At 44.3% G+C, this 17798-nt stretch overlaps 1 protein-coding gene and 1 non-coding gene across 12 annotated transcripts in view; both read left to right on the top strand.

Moving 5' to 3' along the window:
* The window catches only part of PIEZO2 (piezo type mechanosensitive ion channel component 2), a 479323-nt gene that overhangs the window by 386668 nt on the left and 74857 nt on the right, over nucleotides 1-17798 (top strand). For all 11 annotated transcript variants that reach the window (XM_047437735.1, XM_017025918.3, XM_047437736.1 and 8 more), the window contains 8 exons: nucleotides 277-402; nucleotides 1791-1991; nucleotides 2993-3197; nucleotides 3319-3420; nucleotides 4768-4933; nucleotides 10023-10266; nucleotides 12715-12811; nucleotides 14272-14431. In XM_047437735.1, the coding sequence (XP_047293691.1) occupies nucleotides 277-402; nucleotides 1791-1991; nucleotides 2993-3197; nucleotides 3319-3420; nucleotides 4768-4933; nucleotides 10023-10266; nucleotides 12715-12811; nucleotides 14272-14431 (1301 nt within the window). The remainder of the gene's footprint in view (nucleotides 1-276; nucleotides 403-1790; nucleotides 1992-2992; nucleotides 3198-3318; nucleotides 3421-4767; nucleotides 4934-10022; nucleotides 10267-12714; nucleotides 12812-14271; nucleotides 14432-17798) is intronic.
* Nucleotides 3253-3318, top strand: MIR6788 (microRNA 6788). Its single transcript, NR_106846.1, has one exon. It is a non-coding gene; the product is annotated as a microRNA 6788 (primary transcript).

Here is a 17798-nt window from a genome sequence, read left to right as displayed (position 1 = left end):
AATATTCCTGACTGCCCTTTAGCAAAGCAAGGCAGATACTTGGGGAACCCCCATCCCCAAGCACATTTGGCCTGACCTGGCTTGTAAGTCACCTCTCCCTGGCTGGTCGTGCTCTGGGCCTGTGTTAAGCCTCGTCTCATACTGAGGTCTCCCCTGAAATGGGCCTGTCCCTCCCATCCTACCACTATCATTTTGCTCAAGGCTGAAGAAGAAATAACCTGAGCTCTCCTAATCTGTGGAGCTATTTTTTTTTACTCCATTTTCTCTTCTTTTTAGCCAAATGAAAATCAAACAAACATCCCCTTTAATGAGTTGAACAAGTCTCTGCTCTACAGCGCTCCTATCGATCCTACAGAGTGGGTCGGCCTGCGGAAGTCTTCGCCTCTGCTAGTCTACCTGAGGGTAATGGCTTTGTCGTGCTTAGTTTGGGCCTCCACTCCGTTATATAATAGTTCAGGATTCTTTTCCATGAGACGCTTAACATCACATTTGATAGTAACCATATCTTCTCATGTGGGATTTGGCATCACCTTTGCAACAAACTCTAAGTGTTAAAATCAGTATTGTGGCATGTTAAAGAGAAAATGATCAAACGGTCTGAGATTGCTTGAATAAAGTATGACAAATACATTCATTGGAACATTATACAATCATGTTAAGACCATTACAAGATTAAGGTCGATGGGTGCATTAGAATTGAAGCATGTCTAAAATATAGTAAGATTTTTAAAAAGCAAATTTCAAAACACTGTGCATAGTATGATCTCTTCTAGACACAAAGAAAAATATTAAGTAAAGTATACCAAATGCTCAATAGTGGTTATTTCTGAGAAGCGGATATAGCCTTACAAGACATTTTCGCTGTGTAAATTCTGTTTATCTATAGTTTTTAATAAAGAGAATCTACTACATCTAGAAGTAATAAAATAAAACATATATTTAGAAAAGGAAACGAGTACAAATAGTCATACAAACATAATGAAAACAACATGCTTCAGATTTTTCACATTTTATTTTTGTGGATTATCTGAGCAGTCCTAATCATGTTACACTGGCAATGCATTTAAGGGTACAGCCTCTACACTCAGCACCTGGGATTTTTAAATGTATTAAGCAGCCCATTTTCTTTGTGGACCTTCTAGATTTTTCATCACATGGTAGATATCTTTTGTACCAGTACCCACCATAAATAGCTGTTATGAGGATAAAGCAAATTGGTATTTGAAAAGGGTGATCGAATTGTGTCTGGAACCTATGGTTCCATAAATGTTAACTATTTTCATTATCTTGAATAATAGTTATATCATCACTATTATTATTTTACTGTTGTCAGCATGCTTTTCAATCTATTGCTGTCTGTAGCCAGATTTCAGGAGTGTTCAAAAGCTTCCCCCTAAGCAGCTTCCCGTTCATTTAGCTCAGTGCGTCCCAGGATGTCTCTGTACTGTTTTTGCACTTCTGGCTGCAAACAAGGCTGAACTGCCCTCCTTGGATAACTGGAAATTGCTTCCTTGGTGTGAGATGTGTAGTTGTGAGAAGTAGGAATGAGCAGCAGCATCTTATGTTTGGAGATTCTAGATCCTATGACTTTGGAAGTTAGCCTGATTTTCTAATATAGATAATGCCACAATAAATAAGACAGAGAAAACGAATATTGAGCTCAAAACTGCTTAAGAGAGGTGAGCTTTTATAAAACATTGTCCTTGTAGCTGTGCAGAATGTGGGGATTGCTTGAAATTACCAAATCATAAAGCCTCTGGCTGACACATTTGTGTTTCCTTGCTTTGTAGAATAACCTCCTGATGCTGGCTATCCTGGCCTTTGAAGTCACCATTTACCGCCATCAGGAATACTATCGAGGTCGAAATAACCTGACGGCCCCTGTGTCTAGAACTATCTTTCATGACATTACAAGACTACATCTAGATGATGGACTTATTAATTGTGCCAAATATTTCATTAATTACTTCTTTTACAAGTTTGGTCTGGAGGTGAGTTTCCTTGCTGATATGTTTTATTTCTCTTTTCCATGAAAATTCAAAGAACTGCTTCTGGCCAATTGGCCACTGGAACTTTGTGATACATCTGCAGGCATGATAGCTGTCCCCTTGAGAAGAACAGAAAGTATTTGTACTGATGGTTAACTGGCTTGACTGAAAGTTTTCCAAGTTTGGGTGCTGAACACCCCCCTCCACAGCAGTGCCTTGGCCTCTCTGGATCTCCAGAGCCATCTAAATGCATGGCCATCAGTTGCCGTGTTAACAGGTTTCTTATTAAGAATAAAGTATTAATCTTCTGCCTGGGCACGGTGGCTCACGCCTGTAATCCCAGCACTTTGGGAGGCCAAGGCAGGCAGATCTTCTGAGGTCAGGACTTTGAGACCAGCCTGGGCAACATGGTGGAACCCCATCTCTTCTAAAAATACAAAAATTATCCAGGCGTGGTGGTGCACGCCTGTAATCACAGCTACTTGAGAGGCTGAGGCAGGAGAATTGCCTGAACCCAGGAGGCAGAGGTTGCAGTGAGCCAAGTTTGCACCACTGCACTCTAGCCTGGGTGACAGGGCAAGATTCCATCTCAAAATAAATAAATAATAAAGTATTAATCTTCTTTCTTTTTGTGCATTCTGAAACCATAAGCTGCAGCCAAAATGAACTGTTTTAACCTAAAACGATTGTGATAGTGCCTGTGCCTTCATAGAATGAAGTAGGAATGGTGATGTTTCATGAGGAGATCAAAATGGCTGTTCTCTTTATTGTCTGAAGTGGTTATGATAACAGCTACTTAGTCAGTTTTTCCCTGGGAGTAATCTGTACAGTATTTCTGTCTTCACGCTGAGACACTCAAAAGAGCAAGCATTTGTGAATCTGTGCAGACAGACTTGCCCTGAGGGACATGGGTCTCCGCCATCTACACAGACCTGACACCTATCACCAGTCCCCTTTCCCATATGCCTGATTTTTTTTTTTTGCCTCTTTTCATCTTTACACAGACCTGTTTCCTAATGTCAGTTAACGTCATTGGCCAGCGAATGGATTTCTATGCCATGATCCACGCCTGCTGGCTGATCGCTGTCTTATATAGACGCAGAAGGAAAGCCATCGCAGAGATCTGGCCCAAGTACTGCTGCTTCCTGGCATGCATCATCACCTTCCAGTATTTCATCTGCATTGGCATCCCACCTGCTCCTTGCCGAGGTGAGCCTGCCCTTCCCTTGAGCCGTCTACTTTTAGAAGAAGCCATTACTGAGCGGACGGCTGGGAGAAGAGTGGTGAAGAAGAGTATTGATTGTGCTGTTCGCCACTTCCCTCCCTGCAGATTACCCGTGGAGATTCAAGGGTGCCAGCTTCAATGACAACATCATAAAGTGGCTGTACTTCCCAGATTTCATTGTGCGGCCCAACCCTGTGTTTCTCGTCTGTAAGTGTTTCCACTGCAGGGCCACAGAGTGCTGGTATCCGGGTTTACTGTTAATCATTGTTCACGTGCTATGCATTAGTGCCTTTTGTCTTCCACTAGACTTCGTAATCATGTAAAGGCTTGTCTTATGCATTAATATCACAAGTCATTAATGGCTTCTACTCACCCTATTACATTTGCAAAATTAATAAATCAGTGTTGGAAATGCCATATTCACTTGCATAATTTCACTTCCCCCAACACACACACACAAACACACACACACACACACACACACATTTACACAGCCACCTTTCAAAAGACAGACCAGAGAGGAAGGCTTTTGTGTTTTCTGACTTGGTGGTTTCTGGCTCCCAGTGCAGATAAATAAACCCTGAACATGGGACAGTGGATGCTGGGAGATGCTTCCCAGATTTTAGTTGCTCTAGAATTGGGCTGCAGCCCCAAGGCCTTCCCATGGCAGCTGGTGATCCAAAGGTCAGAGCAGCTCCTCCAAGACCAGAGTGCTGGGTTTTACAGAAAATGCAAATGACTGCCCTGCCTAAACAAGTTTAGGTTTAATTTTAAAAGCAAGGAAGCAGCTTGTGTTCAGGCTTCCAGGCAGGCTTGGCCTCAGCCCTTTGTGGGCAGTTGCTGGGAGGACAGCTCTCTCAGGCTGCGCTGTGCTGTCCAGCACAGTCCACCACCTCCACCTGCTCTCACCACACTTGCAGTGTGGCTTCTGCTTTGGGGACAGTCTTTGGTTACAAATGCAAAGGAGGATGGAAAGGATAAAGAAAAATGAATGTCTGCATCCACCACACATAAAAAGATAAAGATGGGGAAATTGCTCAAGTGGCCTCCTTAAAACTGGTGGGAGGTAAAAAAAATTAGCCAGGCATGGTGGCGGGCACTTGTATTCCCAGCTACTTGGGAGGCTGAGGCAGGAGAATGGTGTGAACCCAGGAGGTGGGGCTTGCAGTGAGCCAAGATCGCACCACTGCACTCCAGCCTGGGCGACAGAGCGAGACTCTGTCTCACACACACACACACAAAAATGTTACCCTCTAAGAGACTCATGAAGACTAGTAAGTAGCACCTAATATTTCTCTCACCGATGTGCAAACAAAATTCAGAGACTCCCCACGTAAGCTCCTGGAGTGTCTGTGGTCACTCTATGCCCTGCAAGGTGGAGAAGGTGTGACTTGGCCCCGACATTGGACTCCAGGATGAATTTTACTATGAACTTTGGGAACACAACTCACTTAGGAGCTGGGGAATGGCTGTTGCTGTGTGATGACTGTGTGTTGCATTATGTAAATCAGAAGAGGATGAGGCGGCTTAATGATCTCACCTCTGTCTTGTTAGATGACTTCATGCTGCTTCTGTGTGCCTCCTTACAACGGCAGATTTTTGAGGATGAGAACAAGGCTGCAGTGCGAATCATGGCAGGTGACAATGTCGAGATCTGCATGAACCTTGATGCGGCCTCCTTCAGCCAACATAACCCTGTGCCAGATTTTATTCACTGCAGGTAACAAGAGCTTCACATTTGCTAAAAGCCACTTTGATGTGTGCATTTCCATTACATTGCTCCTCTATACTTTCTCTGCTATACTTGGGAAACAGATCTGCTGAATTGTATACACTGAAGTTAATAAATGCTGGACAATGTGGTTCAGCAGCCTGGAGGCTGAGCCTCTGAATTATAGCACTGCACCTGCTTTTGTCAATGTAAACCGCCTCTTTATGGCCTCAGTTCTCCTCCTCTTCTTCATACCAAAACTGACTTGTGCCAGTAATACCAGCTCTCCAGTGGAGGGTCCTCCTGCTCATCTCTTATCCCTCCTCTGCATCCCCATAGCTCATCCTCATCTTTCCTCCCTCTTCCTCATCCCCCATCTTTCTTCCTTATCTTTCATCCCTCATCCTCATCCCCATAGCTCATCCTCATCCCCATAGCTCATCCTCATCCCCATCCCTCCTCCTCATCTTCTGTCTCTCCTACTCATCCTCCATTTTTCATCTTCATCCCCATAGCTCATTCTTATCCCCACCCTTCCTCCTCACCCTCCAGCCTTCTTCCTCATCTTCATCACTTATTCTCATCCCCCATCTCTCATTCTTATCCCCATCCCTCCTCATCACCCTCCATTCCTCTTCTCATCCTCCATCCCTCCCACTCATCCTTAATCCCTCATCCCCATTCTTACTCCTCATCCATCCTCCATCCCTCATATTCATCCCCATAGCACATCCTCATCCCCCTTTCCTCCCTCTCATCCTCATCCTCCACCCCTCCTCCTCATCCTCTATCCCTCATTCGTATCCACATAGCTTATCCATATTCTCCATCCCTCAACTTTATCCCCAACCCTCATCCTTATCCCCATTTCTCCTCCCCATCCTCCATTCCTCCTCCTCATCTTTCATCCTTCAACCACATCCCCATAGCTCATTTTATCCCCATTCCTCCTTATCCTCCATTTCTTCTTCTCATCCTGCATTCCTCCTTCTCATCTCCATAGCTCATCTTCATTCCCATTCCTCCTCTTCATCCCTGCTTCTCCTCCTCCATCCCTCATCCGTATCCCCATTCCTCCTTTTTATCCTGCATCCTTCCTCCTCATCTCCATCCCTCATTCTCATCCTTCATCCTTAATCCCCATTCCTCATCCTTATCCCCATTCCTCCTCCTCATTCTCCATCCCCCCTCCTAATCTTTCATCTCTCCTCCTAATGTTTCATCCTTCATCCACATCCCCATAGCTCATCTTTATCCCCATCCCTCCTCATCCTCCATTTCTCCTTCTCATCCTGCATCCCTCCTCCTCATCCTCATAGCTCATCCTCATCCCCACCCCTCCTCCTCATCCTCCATCTATCCTTCTCCTCCATCCCTCCTCCTCATCTTTCATCCTTTATCTGCATCCCTATAGCTCATTCTTATCCCTCATTTCTCCTACTCATCCTCATCCTTCCTTCCTCCTCATCCTCCATTTCTCCTTCTCATCCTGCATCCCTCCTCCTCATCCTCATAGCTTTTCTTCATCACCACCCCTCCTCCTCATCTTCCATCCATCCTTCTCCTCTTCCATCCGTCCTCCTCATCTTTCATCCTTTATCTACATCCCCATAGCTCATTCTTATTCCCCATTTCTACTACTCATCCCCATCCTTCCTCTTCATCCTCCATTTCTCCTTCTCATCCTGCATCCCTCCTCTTCATCTCCATCCCTCATTCTCATCCTTTATCCCTCATCTTCATAGCTTATCCTTGTCTCCCATCCCTCCTCCTTATCCCCTTTGCCTCTGCCTCATCCTCATCCCTCCTTCTCTTCCATTTCTTTCTCATCCTCCATCCCTCCTCCTCATCCTCCATCTTTCCTCCTCATCCCCTATCTCTCCTCTTCATCCTCCATCCTTTATCCTTATCCCCATCCCTCCTCTTCATCCTGCATCCCTCCTCCTTATCCCCATCCCTCCTCCTCATTCTCCATCCCTCCTCCTCATCCTCCATCTTTCCTCCTCATCCCCTAGCTCTCCTCTTCATCCTCCATCCCTCATCCTTATCCCCCATCCCTCCTCCTCACCCTCTATCCCTCATCCTTATTCCCCATCCTGCCTCCTCATCCTCCATTCGTCTTCCTCATCTCCCATCTCTCCTCCTCATCCCTTGGTCCTCATCCTCACTTCTTGTATTCACTGGGCACTGAGGAGGGGTGGCTCCCTAGATTCCACCCTGTGCCTGTGCTCTTCCTGAGCAGTGTCTCCCCTGTGGCCATGCAAGGGCTCCCTAGCAGCTTTTCTGTCCTCCACCATTCTGCCCAGCCTCATGACAGCTGATCTGGGCCATGTTTCCCTCACAGTATTTGTGCTTAAACCGTGCTCGACCTCTCACCATGCATTCACCATTTCTGCATTCCCTGGGTTTCCGTATTGAGATTTTTGTCACCCAAGGCCCACTTCATGGAGGGCAGGCCCACTGTGCCTCTGCAGTCAGATCTTCAGTCTTTCAATGCCTGTAACATTCCACTCAGCTGCCCACTATAGTCAGCTGTCTGAGGAAGCTGCTGTGACTTTTCATACCCCCTTATTAGCTGTATATCATGGGACTAATTTCCTAACCTCTGATCCTCACTGATTAGTGTCTGCCCTATTGAGCCATATGAGGTTGCAGTGAGAAGCTCATGCAGTCACAGCACACATGCCATCCATGTGGAGATAGGTCACTGATAGTACCCAAGCCAGCCGACCCCACACATGGAGTCTCTCTCCAGCTTCCGATCTTCCAGAGATTCCTGTTTACATGGTGTGGATCATCTTCTGCCTGGTGTTGGTATCTGAAGAACCCATCTTATCCCCACTTCTAAAGTGTTGCCTTAGGGTGAAGATCATGTCTAACTTGCTTTTGTATTTGTCCCCATCCTCCTACTTACAGTTCTTGGCATATACCAATGCATATACCAATACAGATAGCTGTCAGCCACCTGCTACTCCCTTTGCGCCAGGCTCTGTTCCAAGCTTTGCACACATGGAGCCCTTTTACCCCAGCCCAAGGAGGTCATGCGGTTATCCCTGTTGTAGAGATGAGGAAACTGCAGCAACGAGATGAGACATAGGCAACAGCAGAACTGGGATTGGAACTCAAGCAATCCAGCTCCCAAATCTGAATGTTTATGCGCTTAAGTGCCTCTTGGTAGCATAAGAGGCTCAATATGAACTGAGTAAATCAGGAAGTGAATTTGCTTTAAAACAATATGCTATACAGACTTGACCATTCTATTTGTGAATTAAGTACCAGACTAGGCACTGATCTAAGGTAAGACTTCCATTTTTACCTCTTCTCTGGGATGCTAAGAAAACAATCAGTCCAGCCCAATATTTACTATTGCAAAGGGAACATAAGTATTTTCAATGTATTCATGAAAAACCTAAATCATAACTCAAATGGAAAGCTTTTGTGTGCCATTGATTTTTAAAGCTGATTTTTGTTTTAGTTATTTCAAATTTTTGTTCTGTTTCTCAATGAGGACTGCCAGAAAAGTGACCCCACTCAGGAATTGACCTGTCAAATGCCACAGCAGTAAGTAGGAAGCCAGCGCACATGCTTGCTGGTCAGAAGCACAGCCATGCTCCCCTCTTCCTCTCCAACAGGGGTCAGCTCCGCAGCACCCTGGGATCTCTGGAAAGTGGCCAGAGCCCTGATAGTTAGGTGGCCCCTTAGCCACAGTACCTGTCACCAGGGTTCAGTCTCTCTATTCAGAAATCCTTAAGGCTCCGCTTTGAAGCGTATTTATCAATGTTTTCCATGTTATCTTCACAAGCTTAGTTTTATGAATTCTGGACCCAAAGTGGGTTCAGTGCCAAGGTGTGAAGGCCAGAGCTGGTAAAGCAGGAATTGACTGCTGTAGGCAAGGAAGGAAAGGTATGGAAAGAATAAGCTGCACTCACAGGCACACACACTCAAAATGCTAGCAGCCCAATTCCACTGAATTCAAACCACACACACTTCAGAAGGCCCCTAGGCTCATGCAAATCACTACCTTTATTTGTGATGATCTAGGGTTACAGGGAGATACTGACATTTCATTCACTCTCCATTATGAAGTCAAGGAAGGGTTTTATGTATTTTAGAAAAAAAGTTATAAAAATGTTTAAGTGTTTTACTTTAAAAAGAATAAAGGGTAAAAGTTTACTTATCTGAAAAATGTACCAAGGCACAACTTAAACTCATCCCCCTAATAATGCTAGATAGCTCAAGTGTAGTGCATATTTTATTAAGCAATTACTTATTAACATCCTACAGAACAAGAACCCATTAATCAAAGAATTAATCCAGAATTGGTTCTCCTATGTTTCTTCCCAAATGCGCCAAAAGAAACCACCAAAGCAAAACTCCCAAAACCAAAAGTTCTAATCAAGAAATGCAGTTGGGACTTGGCCTGTAGGTGTGACTCCTGTCAGATGACATTGACCCGCAGGCTAGAGCTGCTGCTTGTTGCAAGACTGACACCGGAACGCTGGCCTCACCTTCCATGAGGAAAGCAGCAGGGATGGGTGGCCCCCAAAAGGGAATCCTGACTCATCCTGAGGACCTCCAGAAACAGAGTATTGGAAAGAACAAAAAAGCCCCACCATGGCTTTGGATAGTTGGTCAGAATCACCTCCCATCTGTAGGGAAAGATTTCCACCTCTAATAAAAGCTTTGTGTTCAACATAAATTTGTTTAACTTCTAGTTCATCCATTCTTAACTTTTCTTTCACTAGCCAGAAGGCATCCGTATCTTAGAATTTCTTTTGCCATACAATTATTCATGCCTCCCATAGAAACAGAAAGGAGAATTTTGAATACTCAAGTGGTAGGCAGAAAATGTTGTTGTTTGTGAGAAATTTGGCCTGAATAAGGTGACGAGAAGCATACACGGTTTCCAAAACTCATCTATTGGTCTATTACTAACTATTTGAGGGTTTCCTAGATAGCAGGATTAAATGAAAGCTCACAGTCTGATTTGCAAGGTGCAGCAGAGAGCATGAATTTCTTCCCTTGTTAAAGACTTTCCTGATTTTGCTTTTGTTTGTTTTGTTGTTGTTGTCTTTTTGTCACTGGCTTTGTTTTCCAGATCTTACTTAGACATGTCCAAAGTGATCATCTTCAGCTACCTCTTCTGGTTTGTGCTCACCATCATCTTCATCACTGGGACCACCAGGATCAGCATCTTTTGCATGGGGTACCTGGTGGCCTGTTTCTACTTCCTGCTCTTTGGGGGCGATTTGCTGTTGAAACCCATCAAGAGCATCCTGCGCTACTGGGACTGGCTGATCGCATACAACGTTTTTGTGATTACGATGAAAAATATCCTGTCAGTAAGTGGTTGCCACTGCATAACACATTTGCGGTTTTCGTGTAAGAGTAAACAGTCCACTCAGTGGTTATTAAAAGCCCAGTGCTTGTCATGTTGCTCTCTTAAAAGCCCCAATAAGATGCTGCAAATTCAGAATTCAAAAACCATTTATTTCTCTCTGTCTTGCCACGTTAAACAGAGTCCTTTTTCCTCATTTTCACCATTTCAAGGCCACATGGCTAAAGGATATGTGTTCATAGGAATAAATTCTAAAATGTCTTTTACTAATTAAAATTCTGTCTCTTCTGAGGAACAATTTGTCATCACTCCTGGTATGAGTTATGAAGTGGCCCTGTTAAGAGCTGAATTTGAGCCACTGAATCTTTTCAAAAGCTGTATTATGTTGGCAAAAAGCAACGCTCTTATCTAGAAAGAACTGTAGAAGTGTGAGATAAAATGAGCATGTTTCTCTATGATACTGGGTGGAGTAGGGAATGAGGTGGAATGGGCTATTATAGGCAAGAATGTTTTATGTACTCAGAAGATGTGGGTAGATAGAAGAGAAAATGCAGCCTTCTGTCTGGCTGTCTCTGAGTATAGACATTCAGATCAGGACACAGCTAGAGCAATGTACGGTTGAGGGACCCTCCCCCCCCACAACCCGCACCAGGCCCCGACGAAGCTTGGCTGCTCTGCTCTTAAGTAGCTATGTTTCAGAACACAACTCTTCCCCTAACATGACATGCAACTCACACTGCCCACTAGTAATTCCAGAGTCACATCAACCTATCAGGACACAACGACACCATTTCAGTGATTTAGTGCTGCGGGAAATTAAGCAACAACCTCTCCTGAGCTGAAGGAGTTAATAGCTCTCTGGCTGGCGCTCACTTAAGGTTTATCCCTGTGCCTGCGTCTCAGTCTCCCAGGCTGTAACTGCTGTTGCACTGAGAGAGCAGTGAGGAAATCTCTTCTGCTTCTTCCTTCCTAGCTACTTAGGGATGAGCTCTCCAGGCAATTCAGTTGTGATATCTCCTTGATTTTCGGGGGGGCACGTGTATCACTGTGTCTAGAAGTCTTGGAAAGCCAAGTTTATGTAGCCATGAATAGGTATTTGGATAATTTATTTTGTCTGAAGTCCATTGAAAGGTTAATTTTCTAGGTGATGGTGAAAGTGACTTATTGGTCACTTTTACCCCTCTGACATCAATTTACATTTGGAGTAGCATTGAGAGTTGTTGAAGAGAGCATGAGACAGGACAACAGAACTCTGGTTCATTCTAAAGCCAGTCTGATGGTGAGGAATCTGTTGCCAGAGGCTGATTTCACAGCCATGCTTGGGAAATGTATGGATTCAAAGTTCATTCATTCATTCATTCATTCCGTAAACCTGTACTGTAGACCTGTTTTTTACTGAGCACTATTTGATGTATTGAAGAACTAGAGATAAACAGTTGTCAGGTTTTGCCCTCAAGGAATTCACATTCTAAAAAGGAAGTTAGACCTACTTATAAATAATTATGATGCAATGGGTTAATGATAATTATTACAACATTTTTGAGAAACAAAAGGATGCCTAATATCTTGCTTAGATAAGCTGGGAACAGGCTTCCTGGAGGTGATGCCATTTGAACGCATCAGAGACTCATAAATAGATTGAAGGGTCTGCAGGGAGACAAAGGGGGAAGGCATTCTTAGCCTGGAAAACAGGAACAAAAGCAGGACATGATGGTGTAGGACTGGAATATTCCCAGGGCTGGGGAATCCATAACGAGTAACTGCTGCTGTTGGAGCAAATCCTGATGATATTCTCCTTCCTCACATGTTCCCAGGAAATGCACACAATGTATCTGTCACATTTATGTATTTGCTTGCAATGATTCATACTTGTTTAAACATTTTCCAACTCAGGATTTAAACTTAACTATAACAAAAAATTCATTGTTATGAGACAACCACCTGCCAATCTACAAAAAATACTCCTTTACCGAGAGAATTGGTCAAACAAGACTCAAAACACATACTCTGTTTTGTTCTAAGAACTACACCCTGCAGCTTAGGTCTGGGATGACCTCCAGGGAAGAGCATAGGTTATATGTGTCTGGCTTGTAAGAAAATAACTCTACCAAAGTCCAAGTTCTAGGGTTCAGTGCACACCCATTCATTATCACAGAGTTGGGATTTATTTCTATGATCGTCCAAGATTTCTTCTTGATAAACTGGTGCTTCCAAGTACAGAAAACATTACATGAAAGACCTTTCCTTTCCTCGTTAGGTTTAATTTTTCCCAGGAATTTACATTGCTCCTGAAGCACTACCACAAGGTGACTGAATTTTTAGGTACAATTGGCATCTCCTGGAATCCTTATCACTGAGACCTTGTGAATTCTTGCACATGTTGGGATCATAAAACACCACTTTTTTTTCTGGCTGCAGAGCTTCAGGATTATCCCCCTCTTTTGTTTTTCAGATAGGAGCATGTGGATACATTGGAACATTGGTGCACAATAGTTGTTGGTTGATCCAGGCTTTCAGCCTGGCCTGCACAGTCAAAGGCTATCAAATGCGTAAGTATGAAAAGCAAGTGTGAAGGCAGAAAGGCAGAAGAGGGAGGATAGTTGTATTGTTCTAGTTTTAAAAGTGGGCCAAAGCACATAAAGATATAAAAGTGGGGTCAGTTTTCTCCAGATGGAGGCTGTAGAACTGTAGTACATTGTGAATCTATTGTCTATAACATGAGATGCCTTATGCTAAGCCTCTTTGATCATCTTCTTGAAACTTCTGAAATGCTGAGGACTTGGAGTCAGGGTCTGGAGATTGGATGTAGTGCTGTAGTAACTCCCCGGACTTTTTGAGTCAAGATTAGGAAGGATTCTAGAAGCCCACTCAAACCTGCTGTTGCTCCACTTAATGTCTTGGGGCATCAAGTAACTCTGACTTCAGGCTCCTCCTGTCCTCAGGAAGCTCAGAGAGCTTCAAGCCTAGGGAAACAGTAGGGAGGAGCATGAGGATTTCTAGAGTTAGACTCCTGCCAAGACAAAGGCAGAAGTGTCATTGCCACCACCCTGCCTCTTGCACCAGAACCAAGGACGACATCACACGTGGCCTACCATGGCACCCAGAATGGGTGCTACTTGGACACAGTGCTCTCTCTATTTATTTATTATTATTTATTTATCTATTTTTAAAAAAATATTTCAAGACAGGGTCTCTGTTACCCAGGCTGAACTACAGTGGCACAATCATAGCTCACTGTAACCTTGAACTCCTAGGCTCCAGCAATCCTCCCACTTCTGCCTCCTGAGTAGCTGGGACCACAGTAGCTGCCTCCTGAGTAGCTGCACCACTATGCCTGGCTAATTTTTTAATTTTTTGTAGAGATGTTGCCCAGGTTGGTCTTGAACTCCTGGCCTCAAGCAATCCTCCTGCCTCAGTCTCTCAAAGTGCTGGGATTACAAGCATGAACCACCACACCCAGTCTTTTTTAAAAAGATTAATTTTTTTTTTATTATGTGATTTCTATTTCAGGCTATATTTTGCCGAAGCCTCACTGGGACGTTGTTTTTCACTTAAGATAAGGCATACTATTGATACTCCTTCTAATAAGCCATGCTGTGCTCATTATTCTGCTGGTTACCCCTGGGTATAGCCCATTCCCAGAATGGGTGTTTTCTTTTGTATAAGAGCATTTCCACTGGCACTGGGACATTATTTCTCTGTGGCCTTTGTTGGAGGTCCCTTTCTTCCTAAGAGAGAGAAATACTCAAGAGGCCTCCCACGTAAAAAGGGCCCTCCTGAGCCTTGTAGTGTGAAGAGTTCAATGCATGGTCAGCCTTATGAATCAGTGTTGATATTGGATTGGAAGTGTGTGATCTCCTTGTAAATAAATCAACTCATAAGTAAGTCAGAGCATCAGAATGCTGCTTTTATGCCTATATTTCCCAAGCCTGACCATACCTCAGATTTTATAAAATTACAATGAAAATGGATGTTAATTTTAATGTGTGTTTTTCTACTGTTACTATAGCTGCTGCTAATTCACCCTGTACACTTCCCAGTGGGGAAGCAGGAATCATTTGGGACAGCATATGTTTTGCCTTCCTCCTGCTGCAAAGAAGAGTTTTCATGAGTTATTATTTTCTACATGTTGTGGCTGATATAAAAGCTTCCCAGATTCTGGCATCAAGGTGGGTCAGGCCATGAAATCAGGTGGTTTCTCCCAGGAAACTTGCCTGAAATAATATTGCACTATCATTTCTGTCTGAGCTTGCTTCTAGAACCCACAAGAAGTTAAGAAATCCCTTCCAGCAAAACCAATCCAAGAAGAATTTAGCACAAGGCCTGTAAAATAGAATAGTAACAGGAAAGCCTATGTAACCATCAGACTTCTCAAGGAATGGGGGTGCCATGGAAGGCCAGAGGTTCACTGGTCAATTGAAGCCCTTGCAGAATCCACCACTTCTCTAGAAGTGGCTCAGTCTGGTCTCAGACAAAACAGCAACATATGCCACGTTGGTCTGGAGTTTAGTCCATCTTACACCTACCTCCCCCTACTAACCTGCTTTTCTTCTCTGAGCCACTGACACAATTTGCATTACTACCTGTTTTTTCCCCTAGGCTCCATTCTTCTTCCAGTTTTTGCCCCTGCTCTTGTAAGTTTAGGAAAAAAGACTGGGGAGAGGTAATAAAGTGAAGTGCCCTGAGGTGGGGGTGGGTGTCGATGACTAGCTCTGTGGCCCCCAGCTGCTGTGTATGTTCCTCTCAGAAACTCAGACCTTGCCTAGGTCCCATCAGATGCTTGGTGTGAATAAGCTGATGGATACTGGGTTCTATTACATGAAATTAGCAATATCTATCATTTGACTCGAAGTTCAGACTAATATATCTGTGTTTACCTACAGTTTCGCTAGAGTCTGTTCTCTTTCCCTGCCATGATAAACACAATGTTTATTTCCAAGGTCCATTTATATGATGGCAGTTGTCAGCCTCTGTTACCTAACTTGGAGTCAAATAGAAAGAGGCCCTAGTCGGGGACCTGCAGTTAGTCAGAAGAGCCTTGTGGCACACCCAGCCCTCATTCCGTGGATGACAATGACTTTATGTACCGCACTGCTCCGGAATTCATTGTTATAATCATTTTCTAATACCCAGGACATTATTTTCAGAGCAGAATACAATGTTTCATTCCAATAGTAACCTTACTTACTTGTATATAAACAGCTGGTATTTTTGCAGGTAAATGCATCTTGTTTGCCTTTCCCAAAACATTTGGTCTGTAGAGGTCCTTATATAACCTATCTGATGACTTCCGCTTGAAAACAATCTTCCTCAGGCTGCTAAGGCAATGTGCTCTCCTAATTTCCCTTTTTCCTTTGTGGTTCAGGCTTCTAGGTCTTTTTTGCAACCTCTTTCTTTGCCCATCTCTCAAACGAGAATGTTCCCCGGTGTCTTTTTCCCAAAGTTGTCACAATGATTTAGAAATCATGCCCATCATGTTATAGTAAGAATGATGACAGTGGTTCAGAGTACAGTTCATGCCTATTGAAGAAAAGCCGTGAGTTGATCAATAAGCAATGAACTCATAATAGTGTGTTCAAAGAATTCACATTCATTCATTCATTTTTTCACTGCCAACTCTGTTACAAAGAGGTGATGTTCACCTCTGCCCTCACAGAGCTCACAGAGTAGCAGGAAAGTGGCACATGAGCAAGCAATTCTACTACAGTACACCTGGTATCGTCTCAGTCCATTTGGGCGGACATAACAAAAATACCATAAAGTAGGTGGTCTATAAACAGTATACACTCAATTCTTACAGTTCCACAGGCTGGAAAGTCCAACATCAAGGTTCGAGCAGATTCAGTGTCGGCCGAGGGCCCACTTCCTCATAGATGGCCATCTTCCCACTGCATCCTATTTTGGTGGAAGGGGCAAGAGACCCCCCTTGGGCTTCTTTTATAAAGATAGTAATCCCATTCATGAGGGCTCTGCTTTCCCACTCAATCTACTCCAAAAGGCCTTACCTCCTGTCCGTCACCTTGGGAGTCAGGATTTCCACATGTGAATTGTAGGGGATGCAGACATTCAGACGACAGCAGGTGTGATGGTAGGAGACACTCCGGGAGCCATGAGGTCACATCAAGGGAATATAACCAGCTGCAGGGGCGTGAACCAGGTGGCCTTCCATTCCCAGTGCAGGCTGAAGGATGAAGAGGAGTTAGTCAGAGGAGAAGGCAGGGGAAGCAGCCCAGTGAAACTACGGAGGGAAGTAGCCATCAGAAGCTCACAGTGACTGCAGCGCTGAGATTGGAAGATGAGGACAGTGAGTGGTGAGTGATAAGCTCCAGGCCAGGAGAGGCCAGGTCCTCAGGGGGCTATCAGCCCAGATATGTCTTTAGAAATACTCCCACAGTCTTAGGAAGGCCTTGCAGTGTTTAAACAAGCAAGTAATATGACGTGTTTGCATTTCAGGAAGCTCACTCTGTTTGTGGTATGGAGAATAGATGGGTATAGGCAGCGCTGTAGGCAGAGAGACAGCTAAGCAGCTGCTATGATAATCCAGGGTAGAGATAGCAGCTAGACCAGGATAGGATCACTGAGAAAGATATTCCAGAGGCAAAATAGGCACAGCTGGAAAACTGCTTGGAAGGAAGGGAGACAGTGATAGAAAGGGAAGCATAGAGGGTGATGTGCCCAGGATTCTGGCTTAGCCAAACGGTGGTGCCAGTCCCAAATATAGGAACTCAAACAGGGAGGGAAGACTGACCGCAGTTGTGGAGTTGTAGGTCTCATGGGCACATGAAACTCAGCCAGTTGGGAATTCCAGTGGGCAGCTGCATGGACAGGCCTGGAGAAGTGAGGAGATGGAGTGCCATCATCACACAGATAGTATTGAAGGAGGTGAGTTGCAGCTGCTGAGAGGGGGTGTGAGAAATGAGAAGAGAACCTTGGAGAACATTCAGGTTTGAGAGATGGCAAAGAAAGAGGTTGTAAAAAAGACCGAGCAGCCTGAGCCACAAAGAAAAAAGGAAAACTAGGAGAGCACGTTGCCTTAGGAGCCTGAGGAAGATTCTTTCCAAGTGGAAGTCCATCACATAGGTTATATAAGGACAAAAATAACAACTGAACATTGAAATCGGTGACCTTGACAGTGGGGTCAAAGCCAGACAGCAACAAGCAGAGGTGGGAGTTGTAAAGGCTTAGAGACATGACCGCAAGACATCTGACTGTGAAGGGGGAGTGATGTAAGTACCTACATAGGAAAATGTGGGATGTGGTCGTGTGTCGGTTTTCTTTTTCGTTTTTTTAAGGTTAGCAAGACTTGAGCATATTTGCATGTTAATGGACAGAATTCGGTACTGATGGAAAGATTGGAAATGCAAGAAGAGAGGAAGAAGCAGGAATTTCGTGTCCCCCAGGCTATGGGTGGGGAAGGGACCTGGAGCACAAGGCAGGCCTAGTCAGACAAAGGGTACCTCTTCCACTGTCCCTGCAGGGCAAGACGCCTGTGGGAGGGATGGTGCAGGAAACTGAGCAACTTACTGCCTTAAGATT

This window comes from Homo sapiens, chromosome 18 (genome assembly GCF_000001405.40).
Source record: "Homo sapiens chromosome 18, GRCh38.p14 Primary Assembly".
NCBI lineage: Eukaryota > Metazoa > Chordata > Mammalia > Primates > Hominidae > Homo > Homo sapiens.
This window is presented reverse-complemented; position numbering and strand designations above follow the sequence as displayed.